General features: G+C 45.9%; 1 protein-coding gene and 1 long non-coding RNA gene across 3 annotated transcripts in view, besides 1 other annotated feature; one reads left to right on the top strand and one right to left on the bottom strand.

Moving 5' to 3' along the window:
• Positions 1-14,203, top strand: part of CRTC3-AS1 (CRTC3 antisense RNA 1) — a 97,132-nt gene extending 82,929 nt beyond the window's left edge. The window contains exon 4 of the long non-coding RNA NR_120372.1: positions 14,059-14,203. This is a non-coding gene — a long non-coding RNA (CRTC3 antisense RNA 1). The remainder of the gene's footprint in view (positions 1-14,058) is intronic.
• CRTC3 (CREB regulated transcription coactivator 3) overlaps positions 1-16,240 on the bottom strand; it is a 115,423-nt gene that overhangs the window by 11,134 nt on the left and 88,049 nt on the right. For both annotated transcript variants that reach the window (NM_022769.5, NM_001042574.3), the window contains exons 9-11: positions 14,422-14,471; positions 8,219-8,436; positions 4,680-4,978 (exon numbers count right to left, since the gene is read on the bottom strand). In NM_022769.5, the coding sequence (NP_073606.3) occupies positions 4,680-4,978; positions 8,219-8,436; positions 14,422-14,471 (567 nt within the window). The remainder of the gene's footprint in view (positions 1-4,679; positions 4,979-8,218; positions 8,437-14,421; positions 14,472-16,240) is intronic.
• Positions 13,357-13,406: an enhancer, noted in NCBI's record as "active region_10081". NCBI's record gives its function as "activates an Ori minimal core promoter by ATAC-STARR-seq in GM12878 lymphoblastoid cells {active_cell/tissue: GM12878}" and the evidence as "EXISTENCE:reporter gene assay evidence [ECO:0000049][PMID:35858748]".

Here is a 16,240-nt window from a genome sequence, read left to right as displayed (position 1 = left end):
TGAACCTGGATGGCGGAGGTTACAATGAGCCGAGATCACACCACTGCACTCCAGCCTGGGCAACAGAGCAAGACCCTGTCTCAAAAAAAAAAAATTAATTGTTGAGGGTAAATGATGGGTATAGGAGGACTTATTGTATTATGTTCTCTACTTTTATGCAATTTAGGAAAATTCTATTATAGAAAATAAAGATAAATTCGAAAAAAAAAGACCACTAAAAACCTGAGAGATAAAAGATGATATTGCATCTGTGGAATAAGTATGATGCTATTAAAAAAGAACACTCAGAGAACAAAAAAGAACTCATAGCAATTTAAAAATGAGAGCAGAAATGGAAAACTCAACAGAAGTGTTGGAAGATAAAGCTGAGACAATCTTCCAGAAAGCAAAGCAAAACAAACAAACAAGGAAGCAACCACAGAGAAGCAAAAGAGGAGAGAGAGAAGATAAGGATAATAGAGGAAAAGTCCAGGATAGTCAACATTCGTAGAGTTCCAGAGAGAAAGAACAGAGAAAACTGAAGGGAAGAAATCATTGAAGAAATAAAGAACATTTCCCAGAAATGAAGGCTGTGAGTTTCCAGATTGAAGGAACCCACCAAATATGCAGACTCACGCCAAGCCACATCATCTTGAAGTTTCAGAACACTGGGGACAAAAAGATCTCACAAGCCTGGGGTGGAGCAGGGGGATTCCATGCAAAGTGTTAAGAGTCCGAATGGCACTGGATTTCTCAATGCAACTTACAAATGAATAGGCAATAGATGCCAAGGGAAAATTATTTCAAATTTAGAATTCTATATTCAGCCAAATAATAATTAAATGGCAGATCAAATAAAGACATTTTAAGTCATACAAAGTCACAGGCACTCTTTGCTATAGAGCTACTAGAGAATTTAGTTTTGAATGTGTCGAGAGGAGATCTGCCCAACTCCAAGAGTTGGGGACTGAATTAGTCATACACATAGATACATATAGATAACCAGGCTAATAAAAAAAGTCAGACATTTATTAACTCCCAAGAGGAAAAAAAATTCTCATTTTCTTGTTTCATAGTATACTATATGTCAACTCTGACTACATTGTAACTATAAAAACACTAAATATTGAGTATTGCTCTAACCAAAATTATAATAAATGAGGAGGGTGGGTAGGAAATTGTGTGTGCACATGTGCGCACATATGTGTGTGGTGGAGTCTGTGGGAGAGTGGAAAGAGAATTAAATTCTAATCTTCATTGGTAGGATGTCATTAGATAATGCCTAACACCAAAAATGTAGAACAAAAAAAGCATAAAACAACATGGTTAGGCTGGGTGAGGTGGCTCATGCCTGTAATCCAGCACTTTGGGACGCCGAGGCGGGCAGACTGCCTGAGGTCAGGAGTTCGAAACCAGCCTGGCTAACATGGTAAAACCCTGTATCTACTAAAAATACAAAAAGTAGCCAGGCGTCGTGGCACATGCCTGTAGTCCCAGCTACTTAGGAAGCTGAGGCAGGAAAATCGCTTGAACCTGGGAGGTGGAGGTTTCAGTGAGTTGAGATCGCACCACTACACCCCAGCCTGGGTGACAGAGCAAGACTCTGTCTCAAAATAATAATAACATGGTTATACCAAAGAGATTAGTTAAAATGGTTGACAGCCATCTCTAGGCAGTGAGGAATATGCCTAACGAGAGGGAAAGACAGCTGTTTTTCTATAACAAGCCCTTTAGAACTATTTTACTTTTTAAACTATGTGCATGAATAACATTCACTTTTTAAAATTTCCTTTTTTTAAGAGATAGATAGGGTGTCACTATGTTGCCAAGGCTGGTCTTGAACTCCGGGCCTTAAGCAATCCTCCAGTCTCTGCCTCCTGAGTAGCTGGGATTACAGTCAGAACAACTGTGTCCAGCAACATTCATTTAAAAAAAATCTAAATATTAAACAAATTAAAAACACATCTGAAAGGGGACACTCTGGCCATACAGTCTCCTTAAAATGTAGCTAAAAAGCAAGAATACTTTTAGATCTTATAAAATAATCTTGCAAAATAAAATTAAAGGTAATTCAATAACATAAGAACCACGAAAACAATAATTATGGACTAGCCTGGGCAATATGGTGAAACCCCATCTCTACAAAAAAAAAAAAATACAAAAATTAGTCGGGTGTGATGGTATACACCTGTAGTCCTATGTGCTTGGGAGGTTAAGGTGGGAGGATCACCTGAGCTCAGGGAGTTCAAGGCTGCAGTGAGCTGTGATCGCGCCACTGCACTCGAGCCTGGGTGACAGAGTGAAACGCTGTCTCTAAAAAAAAATAAAAATTATGGCAGGGCACAGTGGCTCATGCCTGGCACAAGGCACACTGGCTAATTCCAGCCCTTTGGGAGGCTGAGGTGCGAGGATCACTTGAGCTCAGGAGTTTAAGACCAGCCTGGAAAACATAGGGAGACCCTATTTCTTTCTTTTCTTTTTTTAATTCTAATTTTTTTTTTTTTTTGAGACAGAGTAACTCTGTCACCCAGGCTGGAGTGCAGTGGTGCAATCCTGGCTCACTGCAAACTTCCACCTCCAGGGTGCAAGCAATTCTCACGTCGCAGCATCCTGAGTAGGTGGGATTACAGGCGTGTGCCACCATGCCCGGTTAATTTTTGTATTTTTAGTAGAGATGGGGTTTCGTCATGTTAACCAGGCTGGACTCAAACTCCTACCCTCAAGTGATCCGTCTGCCTTGGACTCCCAAAGTGCTGGATTACAGGTGTGAGGCACACACCCAGCCCAGGGAGACCCTGTTTCTACAAAAAAATTAAAAAAATTAGCTGGGTGTGGTGACATGGGCCTGTAGTCACATTTACTTGAAGAATCCCAGCTGAGGCAGGAGGATCACTTGGGCCCAGGAATTCAAGGCAAGGGAGCCGCGATCGTGCCATTGTGCTCCAGCTTGGGCGACAGAGTGAGACTTAAAAATTATGAAATGTCCTCTCACCCTCGCCCAAAAGAGATCACTCATACGATCAACACGCCACGGCTAGTAATTGGTAAAGAGTGACCAATAACAAGATCCTCTAACTCTCCGTTGTGTTCTGTCAACTCTTCCTTCTAAATCATTAATTTATGGCGAGGTGGTGAGTAGTTAATGATGCTGTAATAGGCCGGGCGCGGTGGCTCACGCCTGTAATCCCAGCACTTTGGGAGGCCGAGGCGGGTGGATCATGAGGTCAGGAGATCGAGACCATCCTGGCTAACAAGGTGAAACCCCGTCTCTACTAAAAATACAAAAAATTAGCCGGGCACGGTGGCGGGCGCCTGTAGTCCCAGCTACTCGGGAGGCTGAGGCAGGAGAATGGCGTGAACCCGGGAAGCGGAGCTTGCAGTGAGCCGAGATTGCGCCACTGCAGTCCGCAGTCCGACCTGGGCGACAGAGCGAGACTCCGTCTCAAAAAAAAAAAAAAAAAAAAAAAAAAAAAAAATGATGCTGTAATAGACAGAGGATGTGACAAAAGGTTGAAAACACATTCCTCGATGATTATGGTATAAGGAGAACCACCTCTGAGTTTAGAATTTATAGGATGTTTCAACCCCTGTGTTTCTATAATGGGCTTTTCTTTTCTTTTGAGACAGGGTCTCACTCTGTTGCCAGGCTACAGTGCAGTGAGGCTATCTTGGCTCACTGCAGCCTCGACCTCCTGGGCTCAAGTGAGCCTCCCACCTCCGCTCTGGAGTAGCTGGGACTACAGGCGTGTGCCACCACACCCAGCTAATTTTTCCATTTTTTGTATGGGTGGGTGACTTTTAAATGTGCCTCTTTCTCAACAGACTTCTTTTCATCCTTATAAGAGATATAATCCTCAACATACTTAGCATTTCATGAACAATAAAAGTATTGTTTCTCAAATCTGTAGACAATTAGGGAAGAGGTCTAATTCATTATCAAAGCTTCAGGAAGGTATTAAATGTTTTCTTTGGCTTTCCCCTATGGCTTAATGTACTTAGAGAGTCAATGACTGATTTTCCATGCCAACTTTGAAATCCTAACCTGGTTTCCCTCAGTTGCCTTAGACTTACCTGGATGGCATTCTCTATATCCTACCGTTCCTCTCAACCCCAAGTTTGTGAGTTAGTGACTACAGATTGTTCAACATTTGCTTAAAGAGTAATCAACACAGCAAATCTGCTATTATTATAATAAAAAATCATTAATTAGGCTGGGTGCAGTGGCTCATGCCTGTAATCCCAGCACTTTGGGAGGCCACGCTGGGAGGATGGCTTGAGTCCAGGCATTTGAGACCAGCTTGGGCAACATATCGAGAACTTGTCTCTACAAAAAAATCAAAAAATTAGTCAGGTATGGTGGTGCATGCCTGTGGTCCCAGCTACTCCGAAGACTAAGGTGAGAAGATCGCTTGAGCCCGGGAGGTGAGGCTGCAGTGAGCCGCGATTGTGCCACTGCACTCCAGCCTGGGCAACAGAGTGAGACCCTTTCTCAAAAAAAGAAAAGAAAATCATGAATTCATTCTGCATTATTGACACTTCTGCTCTGATTTCACATATAAGAGCGAACAGACTGCACTTGAGACCTCATGGGTGCTTGGTGTAATAATGAGTGTAACCCAAAATAGTAAAGAGGAGGAATGCACTTCCTATATCTTGCAGTCTGTTTCACTGTAGTGGTTGGTCTGTCTGTGTGTGTTTACCTGGGAGGTAGGATATGGGGCCAGTGGGCTGGTTGAAGACAGCTGTCTGCTGAAACCTTGATGTGCTTCAGGGCCAGGAGAAAGCGTGAGAGGGCTGACGGGAGGCTGCCGACGCCGAGACGGGCCGCTCAGGTTTGTGGTGGAAAGAGATGGGTTGCTAAGGGAAAACAGACGGAGCGAAGGGTGAAGAGCAGATGCGTTGGGAACAGATGTCTGTGGGTGGTTATTTAAGGAAGAGGAAAGCACAGTCTTATTGAGCGTGGCTTGGATGGAGGGGTTACTCCGAGAACTCTGGAGACCTGGAAGACAACAAATTCACAAGTTACTTATAATTTCAGACCAAATCTTTTGTATTCCAAAAATGAAAGAAAACTGTCTACTGTCACATGCGATGATGATTCTGTAGGTAAAGGAGCTCCTGGACAGCTCTCCTACAGGGACTGCATCCGATGCACCAATGGCAAGGAAAAGATGCCCCTGCACTAACAGAGATGGGGCCACAAAGATGACAACGATGTTTTCCCATGAGGAGGGAGATCACGTCAACAACCCCTAGGTGAGCAAAACTAGGTAAACCGGGGTAACAGAGGCAAATATTCCAGGTGCTCGGCCCAGACCCAGGGAAAGGACCCTAGGGCTGTACAACAAATTCTGTTTAGAGCCCCGGAAGGTCTCTGTCCCAAGCACACTGCCTGCATCCCCTGCTACCTTTGGAGAACATCCTTCCACGGCGAGTCATGGCCCTTGGGGAGCTGTCTTGGTGGTCTTTAATTACCCTTAGCACACTAGGGAGTCACAGGAAGGGACACTTCCCTGTATCTCCCACCCCAGGGTCCCTCTTTGATTTTCTGGTTCCCAGGAAATTGTTCATCACAGTCTATACCAACTCAGGGAAAAGGAAGTTTTTGCTGGTGCTTTATTTGGGGGACAGGGGTGAATTTGATCATGAGCAAGGAAATTTGGGAGAGAGATCTTTGCAGCATAGGCTGCTAGGGCATGAGCTCCCAGAAACTGGGGATCCTGTCCTATGCCCTGCTGGATCCTCAGCACCTGGCACAGGGCCTGGCATGGAGCAGGTTCGCCCAGTGAATCAATTATTCGGCTGCTGCTGCTGTGTGTATCTCAACTGGCAATACCTACGTTTTAACCTTCAGCCCATCTTTCTTGTACCAGCAGGTGGGGTAAGCAGAACTATGTGTTGTTTCGTGTTGACAAAAAATTTAAGTGTTTGATAAAAGTTACGAAAAGGAAGAAATGACAAAAATCCAGCAGCTGGCAAAATTATTATTATCACTATTATTATTATTATTTTTTTTGAGACAGAGTCTCGCTCTGTCACCCAGGCTGGAGTGCAGTGACATGATCTCAGCTCACTGCAAGCTCCGTCTCCCGGGTTCACGCCATTCTCCTGCCTCAGCCTCCCAAGTAGCTGGGACTACAGGCATGTGCCGCCACGCCTGGTTAATTTTTTGTAATTTTAGTAGAGATGGGGTTTCACCGTGTTAGCCAGGATGGTCTCGATCTCCTGACCTCGTGATCCACTCGCCTCGGCCTCCCAAAGTGCCGGGATTACAGGAGTGAGCCACCGCACCCAGCCTAAAATTCTTAAAAATAATTTTGCCGGCTGGGCGTGGCTCACGCCTGTAATCCCGGCACTTTGGGAGGCCGAGGCGGGTGGATCATGAGGTCAGGAGATCAAGACCATCCTGGCTAACAAGGTGAAACCCCGTCTCTACTAAAAAAATTAGCCGGGCGTGGTGGCAGGTGCCTGTAGTCCCAGCTACTGGGGAGGCTGAGGCAGGAGAATGGCGTGAACCTAGGAGGCAGAGCTTGCAGTGAGCCGAGATGGCGCCACTGCACTCCAGCCTGGGCGACACAGCAAGAGTCTGTCTCAAAAAGAAAAAAAAAAAAGAAAATACAGAAACTGACATTGGTTCTGACATGTTCTGGATAAAATAGTGCTTTTTTGAGAAGACAACCAGTGACTAAACATAAGATCTTCAGCTTGAAGCAAAGTGTCAAAGGCTGTACTGGAAAATGCCAGCTTCCCTGAGACCCAAAGGAGCTATGTGCTGATGCTGCTTTACTTCTGGGACCCTAGATATCTTCATACATTGAGGATTCACCCAAAAGGTGAATTGCCCAGACTCTGAATCTGGGCATAAAGGTTTCGAGAGTTTCTCCTGTGAAGCAAATATCAAATTTCTCCTATGAAGCAAATGTATAAATATCAAAACTGAGACTCAGTCGATGAAAAACCTGCTACTATTAAGGATACTAAAATGACCCAAAAAACAAAAATAAAGGTGTTCTCTGAAATCAATTCTTCAAACCTAAGATTGTGTTGCACCAGGCAGCATCACTGCAATCATTAGAAAAACTTCCAGGTGACCCCCCCTGAAGGGGACCACTCTCATTTGGGTGGTGAGTTCTGATTTGCATGGATGAGTCTCAGAGTGAAAGGCAGCAAACACTGCTTTCACCTGGAGACCATCACTGAGCATCCCTTCCAAATGAAATGCTCCACAACACAATTCTGGGTAGGACTGTTACGGCCAGGGGCTGTACTGCACCACTGGGAGTAAGAGGATTATCACCTGCCCTAGACATTGACAAGGGTATGTCAGTGGTGGCTCACGCCTGTAATCCCAGCACTTTGGGAGGCCAAGGCGGGTGGATCACTTGAGGTCAGGAGTTCGAGACCAGCCTGGCCAACATGGTGAAACCCTGTCTCTACTAAAAATACAAAAACGATTAGCTCGGCATCGTGGCACATGCCTGTAATCCCAGCTACCCTGGAGGCTGAGGCAGAAGAATTGCTTGAACCTGGGAAGCAGAGGTTGCAGCGAGCTGAGATCGTGCCACTGCACTCTAGCCTAGGTGACAGAGTAAGACCCCATCTCAAAAAAAAAAAAAAAAAAGTGTCAGGCTTCAAACAAATGTAGTCATAATTTCAATATGGGGTCTGAGCTGTGGACAATCAAACCCAGAGAGTAACACCCAAGTCCCATTATGGGTAGCATCTTTATATAGCTAATGCTACATCTTTAACTGGAACTGTGGGGGATTTCTACTTCACACACAGATATTAAGTATAAATATTTTCATCATATCCACTGTAAATTTTCTAAAATGCAGAATATTGCCTTTAGAAATCTAATGGAAAATGAAAGGAATCCAGAGAGATGGCCTAAATTATAAATTATCATATGTTGATGACAGCCACTAATACTGTTCAGCCAACACGGAGTGGATGCTTATTTCTTGGCTCCCATATCTTATTCCCCAAGTCCCTGGATAGAGCAGCGAGTGAGGATGATAAGGAATGAGGTTCAGCAGAGCTGCCCCAAATTCATCAACCCAGGAGAAACAGAAACATCCAAGAAAAATGTCCGCAGGGTCAGGAGATACAAGAAGGTACATTATCATCTCTAACTGGGATGCAGTCATTCTCATTCAATGATTCACTGAACAGGCCACATGGGTGGGGACCACCTATGATTAAGCCACCAGGTCACTGCTAAGCAGGAGATACTCACCAGAGGAGCTTCTTATACCCAGGTGGGTCATAGCAGCTGGGATGTTGTTCACACTATTCCCCACACTCATACTGCCAAAGTGGTGGTCGGTGGTGTCCAGGGAGGCTGGCAGGGGTGTCGAGTAGTGGAGGTTGGTTAGATCTGGCAATGACCCTCCAGTGTTCAAGGTCCCCAAGAAGGGTGAGAGGCCTAGGTTTTGACCATTATGTGGAAAAGCACTGAAAAAAGAAAGATTAAGAATGACTTTCTACAATGTATTTGGCTGTTGGGAAACCAAACATGGCTGAAACCTTTTCCTTGTCAAATAAGAGCAGTGGCTACAAAAGACCGAGGTCCTGGTGCGGCCTCTCTGATTCTGAGAACACTGGTGCTCGGCTTAACCTCTCCGAAACACATATCCTCACCCACTACCTGTGCCCACATTACAGGAATACTAGATTAGGGTCTAGAATAATCAAGACCAGATTAGATTATGGATGCAAAAGTATTCTGAAAATTATAAACCACTCTATAAAATGTGAGGCACTGCTATTTATGTAGTTCTTTTTGCTAGATTTTTAAGTTATCTTTGCTACCAGAAAAAGTATCTCTGAGTAACTAGCTACCTTCCAATATACCTTCCAAGATATATTTTTAAAATTACAGTCTTCATAAACTTTAAAGTGACAAAGAGATGTTGCCATTCATTCATCACAATCTATGGGCTAGGCACTGTGTGCCAGGCAGCGGGCCGCATGTTGGCGGCACCATGATGAACAAGCAGGGCGAGTGTGTCCGCCGGGGTCAGGCCTACTCCTGAAATGTACAGGCCTGGAGCAAGAGTATAAAAGAAGGCCCGCATACCATCTGTTTCCATTTTTAAAAGTTATAAATCAAATGAACAAACCCTTACATGAACTTTGTTCTATGTGTCTATCCTGACATATTATACCTTCATAATAGCCTGTGAAGCCAGATTTACATGTAGAATTCTCAGACTTCTTGGAGTTCTGTGCCAGAATGCACAGGGAGACAGCCTGGCCCTCAGTCCACGTCCCCTTCTCTTCCCCCTAGTTCTGTTCTGTACTGCAGTACGCACATAGCTATCCCAGCCTATGCAGCCAAACTCTGTCCACACCCTGCTGACTCTCTAGCCACCCCCCAGGCCTAGTGCGTATACACTGGTGGTACGTTCCCTTTGGGAATGAAGCCCTCTCAAGGGCGGGGCCCCAGGGAGGGGCCTGCTAGCCAGGTCTGAGAGGACCTTGTTTTGGAATTCACAGATGGGCAGGAGAGACAGCCTGGGAAAGCAAGTAACTGCAACGTGGCAGGAAGCGCGCTATGCTGGGTTTGAGAAGGGGTGTGTGTAACCAGTGCATATAAGTGACACCGGGAGCAAAAAAGCAGGAGTTGTCCATGTCAGGATGGGCTGTGGAGGGGACGGGTTTGCCATGGATGTGACACAGTGTGTGCGTGGAATTAAGAGTAGCTGGGCATGGCTGAGGTGTCAGGTGTCAGGGCAGAGGGTGAGGAGGGAGGGTGGCACATGGGGAGGGAGAGGCAGGCGGGAGAGAATGTGCTGTTCTCAGGAGTCTGGATCAGGGACTGTGGAAAGAGGGAGGCCAGGTTAAGCTGGAGAATGGCGTTTCAGAAATGTCACTGTGGTTCCAGTGTGGAGGATGGCCTCAGCAGGCAGAAGGAGAGGCAGGGAGAACCAATTAGAAGGACCACCTGCAGTGGTCCAGGGGTGATATAGGAAAAGAGCAGTGAGGGTGACGCGGAGGAGAATGCGGGAGAAGGTGCCACCAGCCAGGAGCAGAGGGAAGTCACGAATCCTGAGGACACTTCATTCCCTCCTGCACACATCAGCAGAGCACCTCCCAGGGGCCAGCCACTGGCATCAGGGCTTCAAGAGACTGAGCCATAAGGAGCATAACCGGCAACATAATACAATTCAGTAGTGCAGTGATAGAGCCTGGAGGGAGGCCATGTGGAGGGAAGCCCAGCTGACCTGGGGAGGCTTCCTTGGAGGACATCTGAGCTTAGTTTAAAGGCTAAAGAACTCAGGTGATCTAGTCAGGAAAAAGATTTCAGGCAAAGCTCACAGCATGCGCAAAAGCAGGGAGGTGTGAGACCACATGGTGTGCCCTCAGAACTGTGAGGATTCAGACCACGGGAGGTTGAGTTTAGGAGGGCTGGTTAGTGGTGGGAGATGGAAGTGGAAAAGCAGGTAGAGAGCACCCGAGGCTGGGACTGATGAGAGGCTGACACGACGCCAGTGGAAGGCTGGACGCGGGGTGGGCAGTGTGGTGGGGGAGAGGTATCAGCTTTTCTTAGGACAGCGTGGCTAACAGACTTGGGGAAGGGGTCTTGGGGTGCACGGAGCAGGCCTGGAGGTGGAGAGGCCGCTATGACTCTGCTGAACGCTCCAGCAGGAGGCCACGAGCGCAGGGAGGGAGAGGCAGGCTAGACTCTAGAGACAGGGAAGTAGGACTCAAGAACAACTCTGGGGCCTTTAGCCTGGGGACTGGTGGAGCCCCTCACTGAGACAGGGGACACTGAAGATGTGAGCAGATTGGGAATGAGGGCAGGGGTATGGATGAGATCACGAATTCTATTTTGGCTTTGAGTTTCTGCTCACTAGGAAGACATGCAGCAGGGATATTTCTCTCTCAGTTACGTACAGGAGGCAACCGACATTCTCAAGGTTCCACTGAACAGCAGAGGTGGCAGCCAGGGCATGGTGGGCTGATGATGGGTAAGCAGGAAGGAACACCTGAGAGTAAATATGCTTTCAGAAAGCATGGCGGAGAATTCTGGAGATGAGGGACAGTTAACTAGCAGAGAAAGGCCTCCACAAATCCAGCGGGAGGAGGGCCAGGGAGTGGTAAAGTGGCCGGCCTGACTAGGAGGGACCTCGGTGTCCCTAGGACCAGAGAAGGGTGGTGACGGGGGAATCAGTGGCAGAAGAGAGCTGAGCACTCACTCCTGCCAGCCTCGCCTCACTTTTCTTGGTAAAAGTAGGACTGGGCGAACTGTGGAGTTTTGGAAAGAAATGAGGCAGCAGGAGAGGTGTCCAACCGGAGGGTGAGGAAGAAGGCTCATTTTGGTTGTAGAAAAACTGAATATAAATTTTGTCTTTTTATTTTATTTTGTGTTTTTTTGAGACAGAGTCTTGCTCTGTCGCCCAGGCTGGAGTGCAGTGGTGCGATCTTGGCTCACTGCAACCTCTGCCTCCCGGGTTCAAACAATTCTCCTGCCTCAGCCTCCCGAGTAGCTGGGATTACAGGCATGTACTACCATACCCAGCAAATTTTTGTATTTTTAGTAGAGACAGGGTTTCGCCATGTTGGCCAGGCTGGTCTTGAACTCCTGACCTCAAGTGATCGGCCTGCCTCAGCCTCCCAAAGTGCTGCGATTACAGGCATGAGCCACTGCGCCCAGCCTGAATTTTGTCTTAGATGGCTGGAAGTATGGAACTGTTTATAGGGTTAAAGATCAAGGACTAGAAAAATAAAATTGAGACCTCAGAGCCCTCAACGTGACAGCAGATGGGCTTTCTGACTGAGAAGAAAGATCCATGGGTGATCAGGTGGGAGTGAAGGCAGAGAGAGCAGGGGCGCGGCAGGGAGAAGCGTCCAACAGCACAGAGCAAGGATGGAAAAAATGTGACCACTGTGAAACAGGTCATTAGTAACGTTCACACAATTCCTCTGCAGCTGGGAGAAATACAGGTGGTTCCTTTCCAAATATAGTTACTACCTAACGGAGTCACCACTGATCTAAGGAAAGTAATGCGCCCCCCGGTTCAAGACCCTCTAACGACTCCCATCTTCTCTGCGTCAGATCCAAGCAATACAAGCCTCCTTGAACTCCAGGCCCACTCCTGCCTTGGGGTCTTTGCACTTGCTGTTCCTGCTGCCTGGAGCCCTCTCTGCGTCGCTTCACACTATCAGAAAGGTTTCCTCAACGCCCGCTGGTGGCTGCCTGTCCACCTGCCACAGTTGCGTCTCCTTCAGTGCATTTACCCACACATGACTTTTGCTGTGCTTTGCTTATTTGTTTCTGCCCATCTTGCTCTACTAGATTATTAGCTCCTCGAAAGCAGGAACTTGATCTGTTTTGTTCATTGTTTAACCCAGTGCCAAGAATTAGGGGGTCAATAAATATCTGCATGACTAGAAGTCACTGAATGGAATTCTATCTGTAAAGTAAGAGCAAGAAAGCAACTTTCTCTACCTAAGAAACACCTGCTTTAAAACTCTCCAGGTTGGCCAGGCATGGTGGCTCACACCTGTAATCCCAGTGCTTTGGGAGGATCACTTGAGACTAGGAGTTCAAGACCAACCTGGCCAACATAGCAAGGCCCTATCTATCTTTAAAAACAAAACAGGCTGGGCATGGTGGCTCATGCCTGTAATCCTAGCACTTTGGGAGGCCAAAGTGGGTGGATCACCTGAGGTCAGGAGTTCAAGACCAGCCTGGCCAATATGGTGAAACCCTATCTTTTCTATAAATAAAAAAATTAGCCAGGTATGGTGGTGCACGTCTGTAATTCCAGCTACTTGGGAGGCTGAGGTAGGAGAATCGCTTGAACCTGGGAGGCAGAGGTTGCTGTGAGCCAAGAGCATGCCACTGCACTCCAGCCTGAGCGACAGAGCGATACTCCATCTCAAATAAATAAATAAATACAAACAAACTAACTAAACAACAACAACAAAAACCTCTTGAGGGCTAAAGTACTGCAGCCCAATTCTATAATGTTAGGCTTTCAGAGCCTGAAGGTTATCTGATGGTTAAGCCAAAATTGATTCTTGAGGAAAATGTTTGTTTTTGTTTTTGTTTTTGTTTCCAAATTTCCATTTTACCAGGAAGCCCCTGAACCAGACTAGGTTGAGGGAGACTCCCTTGAGGAAAAGCTTGCCCCTTCCATGGGAATGTCCTGCACCTCTCGGCGGCCTGTCTTTTGTTGGGCATGCGTCCTGGCAGGCTTGCCCACTTTCTGAAGCAAACATCAACCCGTGGCGCAGCTCAGCAAATCACCTGAGTTTACGTTTAACCTGCCAGAAAGAATGTCTGAGCTCCAGGTACTCAGTAGAGAGTGCCTTGACTGCGCTGCTGTGAGATACTCACAGGAAGCTCTGTTGGGGGAAATCACATTCAATGACTGCTTGAAGTGGATTTAGTTCACCCACTGACCCACTGGTGATTGTATGTACTAAGTCAGATCATGCAAGAATCCCATTTCCAAACCACATTATTTTGGCCCTGCAGCCTTGCTGTTTCTGAATTGGCTTCAGTTCCAAGTGGTGGGACTGCTCTCACGGACACTATGATAAACAGCCCCAGGAAGCCTCCTTGGGGCTCTCTCAGGACACAGCCCATCGAGTTCCAAGGGGTCCTCTCTGTGAACCTCCCCAGCAGCTGTCTGTACCGTCCCACGCAGCACACCAGCCGGCCCTCCCAAGGCAGTTTCTGTTAAGGCAAGGGCCTCATTATCTCTCTCATCTCCTCGTTCTCTCTTAGACTCAACTTCCTCATGAACTTCCTTTTTCATTTGCTTGTACTATATTTTTGTAAGTTGTCTCAAACCTTTTAGGGAGTGAAGTTGCATACTATTAAATCCACTAACAAATTAATGGTTTCATAGAAACTTTTTTGTATTGCAAATGGAAAATATATTTATCTTCCATTTATGTTTTTAAATTGTTGTAAAATAAATATACCATAAAATTTACCATTTTAACCATTTCTGTGTGTACAGTTCAGTGACATTAAGTACATTCACAGAAACTCTCTTAATTAACTTCTGTGCCATTAAGCTGCCAGGTGAACTGATGCTTCCCTTTTCCCCTGGCCAGGATGTCACCGATGCCCACAGCCTGCCACAGCTCGGGGCTGGTAGGCTCCTCTCGATTCCTGCACGTTTCTGCTTCTGACACTGCTTCTACCCGGAGAGTTGTGTATTTACCAAGAGTCAGTTGTGTGATTCTCAAACATACTTATGTAAGTTTTGTTTGTTATTATAGTCATGTAATTTAATTAGTTTAAACAGATGAAATATGAGTATCAAAAGAGAGTGGCTGTTTTTATGAAAATGCAGTTGACTTTCAATTTATGCATAGCAAGTTACGTTTCTGAGAGTTCTGTAACAAAGCAGCGAGACTTTTGGGAAAAACCTTCAGGATAGTCCCTGAAACACGAACAGAAAGAATATTACTTACTTGCCACCTCCAACATCACAGGATCGAGGGCGTCCTGACAGGGACTGAATCTGAGAAGAGACAATGAAAGCTGGGCTTACTCGCTGTAAAGCCAAATTCAAGTTTTTGAAAAGTGTCTTCGTAAGGACCTTGAGGCTCTAGTGGGCGCAAGTGAGAGCTTGCGTGTCGACAGAGTCCTCACACAGCAGCCTTTTAGGTTTTGGCATGACTTTTTTAAACTCAAACTTCCAGGCCTAAGGGAGGCATAATATTAATACATTTTCCTAATTTGATGCCTTATCAATTTACCTTCTGGATTAACATTAAAAGACCAATGTTTTACACATAGAGCTTTTTACGGAGTTTCACTCTTGTCATCCAGGCTGGAGTGGCAGTGGCACATCTCAGCTCACAGCAACCTCCGCTTCCTGGGTTCAAGCGATTCTCCTGCCTCAGCCTCCCGAGTAGCTGGGATCACAGGCATGCACCACCACACTCGGCTAATTTTTGTATTTTTAGTAGAGACGGGGTTTCACCATGTTGGCCAGGCTGGTCTCAAACTCCCGACCTCAGGTGATCCACCCGCCTCGGCCTCCCAAAGTGCTGGGATTACAGGCATGAGCCACTGGGTCTGGACGACATAGAGCTTTTAAATAAACATTTCTTTTCCAATTGGCTTGAGAGGAAATGAAATAAATAAAAGAAAAAAGCAGGGTGAAAAAAGAAATGAATGTCAGAAGAAACTAAGCTATTTCAACTAGAATATAAGCTCCAGACGGACAGGAATGAGTATTACAAATCCACAAGAACCAAGGGAGATGAACATCTCTTTCCAGAGACCAGTCCCTGGTACTCAGGGAGGAGGGCACACCACTGCCCTCTTTGGTGGAGAAGACATAGTTATCCTCTGATAAAAGCCTCCACAACCACATGTGCCTCTCACAGCCAAAAGACAGTGTGGTTGCTTCTCCTGTGTTTAAATATGTAAATTTTAAATCATATCTCTTTTTTACTTCCCAAATGATTAAACATCAAATACATCTTGCTTTTACAAAAAGCCTTTTAAGACAACTAATGCTAATGGTGACTCTGGTAGACTTGGCAGAAGAAAATGGAACTGGGCCAAAGGGATCCTAAACAGGTGGGGATAGTTAAGTACACAGGCAATACAAACAATTGCAATAGAGCATCCTTAAGGGCTGGAACAGATTAACTGTTTTCTTTCAAAGTCAACACAGCTTCCCTCTGGGAAGAAAGGCCAAGGCAAGTACCGTGGGACCTCCCCTTTCTTCCACAGTGGGTGAGGTTTAGAGAGCCGAGGTGGAGGTCAGCTAGCACAATTTTAGATACAAATTCTCAAAGGCGCATGGAAATCATAGTAAAACAGATGACTTGTCTACTGACTCTTGGAGGACTCAGGTCAAATGCCCTTGAGTTAAAAAGAGCTATCTGGTATACCAGTAATTCTGGACAGAAGCTGGAGACTGGTATAAAGTGCTGGCTAAAAAAACAGAAAAATCTGCCTATGACTTACAACCAGGTTTCAGAGCTTTTAGCAAAACAAATAAGATATGGAGGACTTAGCAGGGTTTTTTTTTTTTTTTTAAATAAGTCAATTCATATGAAAATTAGTAAGCCAAGAGATCAATGTGCTAATTCATTGACACAAGCGCGATAATTTTTACTTGAAACGTCCTTCCCTTGTATATTCTTATCTCTGTTCTCAGACAAATCTTCTCCTTTTCCCCCAGTTCCTCTTGCTTTCACCTCTGCAGGATTTTTCAATGACCTCTAAGTACAAACATTCAGTGACAACAAACATAGCTGAGTACTGTTCACC

This window comes from Homo sapiens, chromosome 15 (genome assembly GCF_000001405.40).
Source record: "Homo sapiens chromosome 15, GRCh38.p14 Primary Assembly".
NCBI classification, from domain to species: domain Eukaryota; kingdom Metazoa; phylum Chordata; class Mammalia; order Primates; family Hominidae; genus Homo; species Homo sapiens.
The sequence above is the reverse complement of the archived record's forward strand: the minus strand, read 5'-3'. Positions and strand labels throughout refer to the sequence as shown.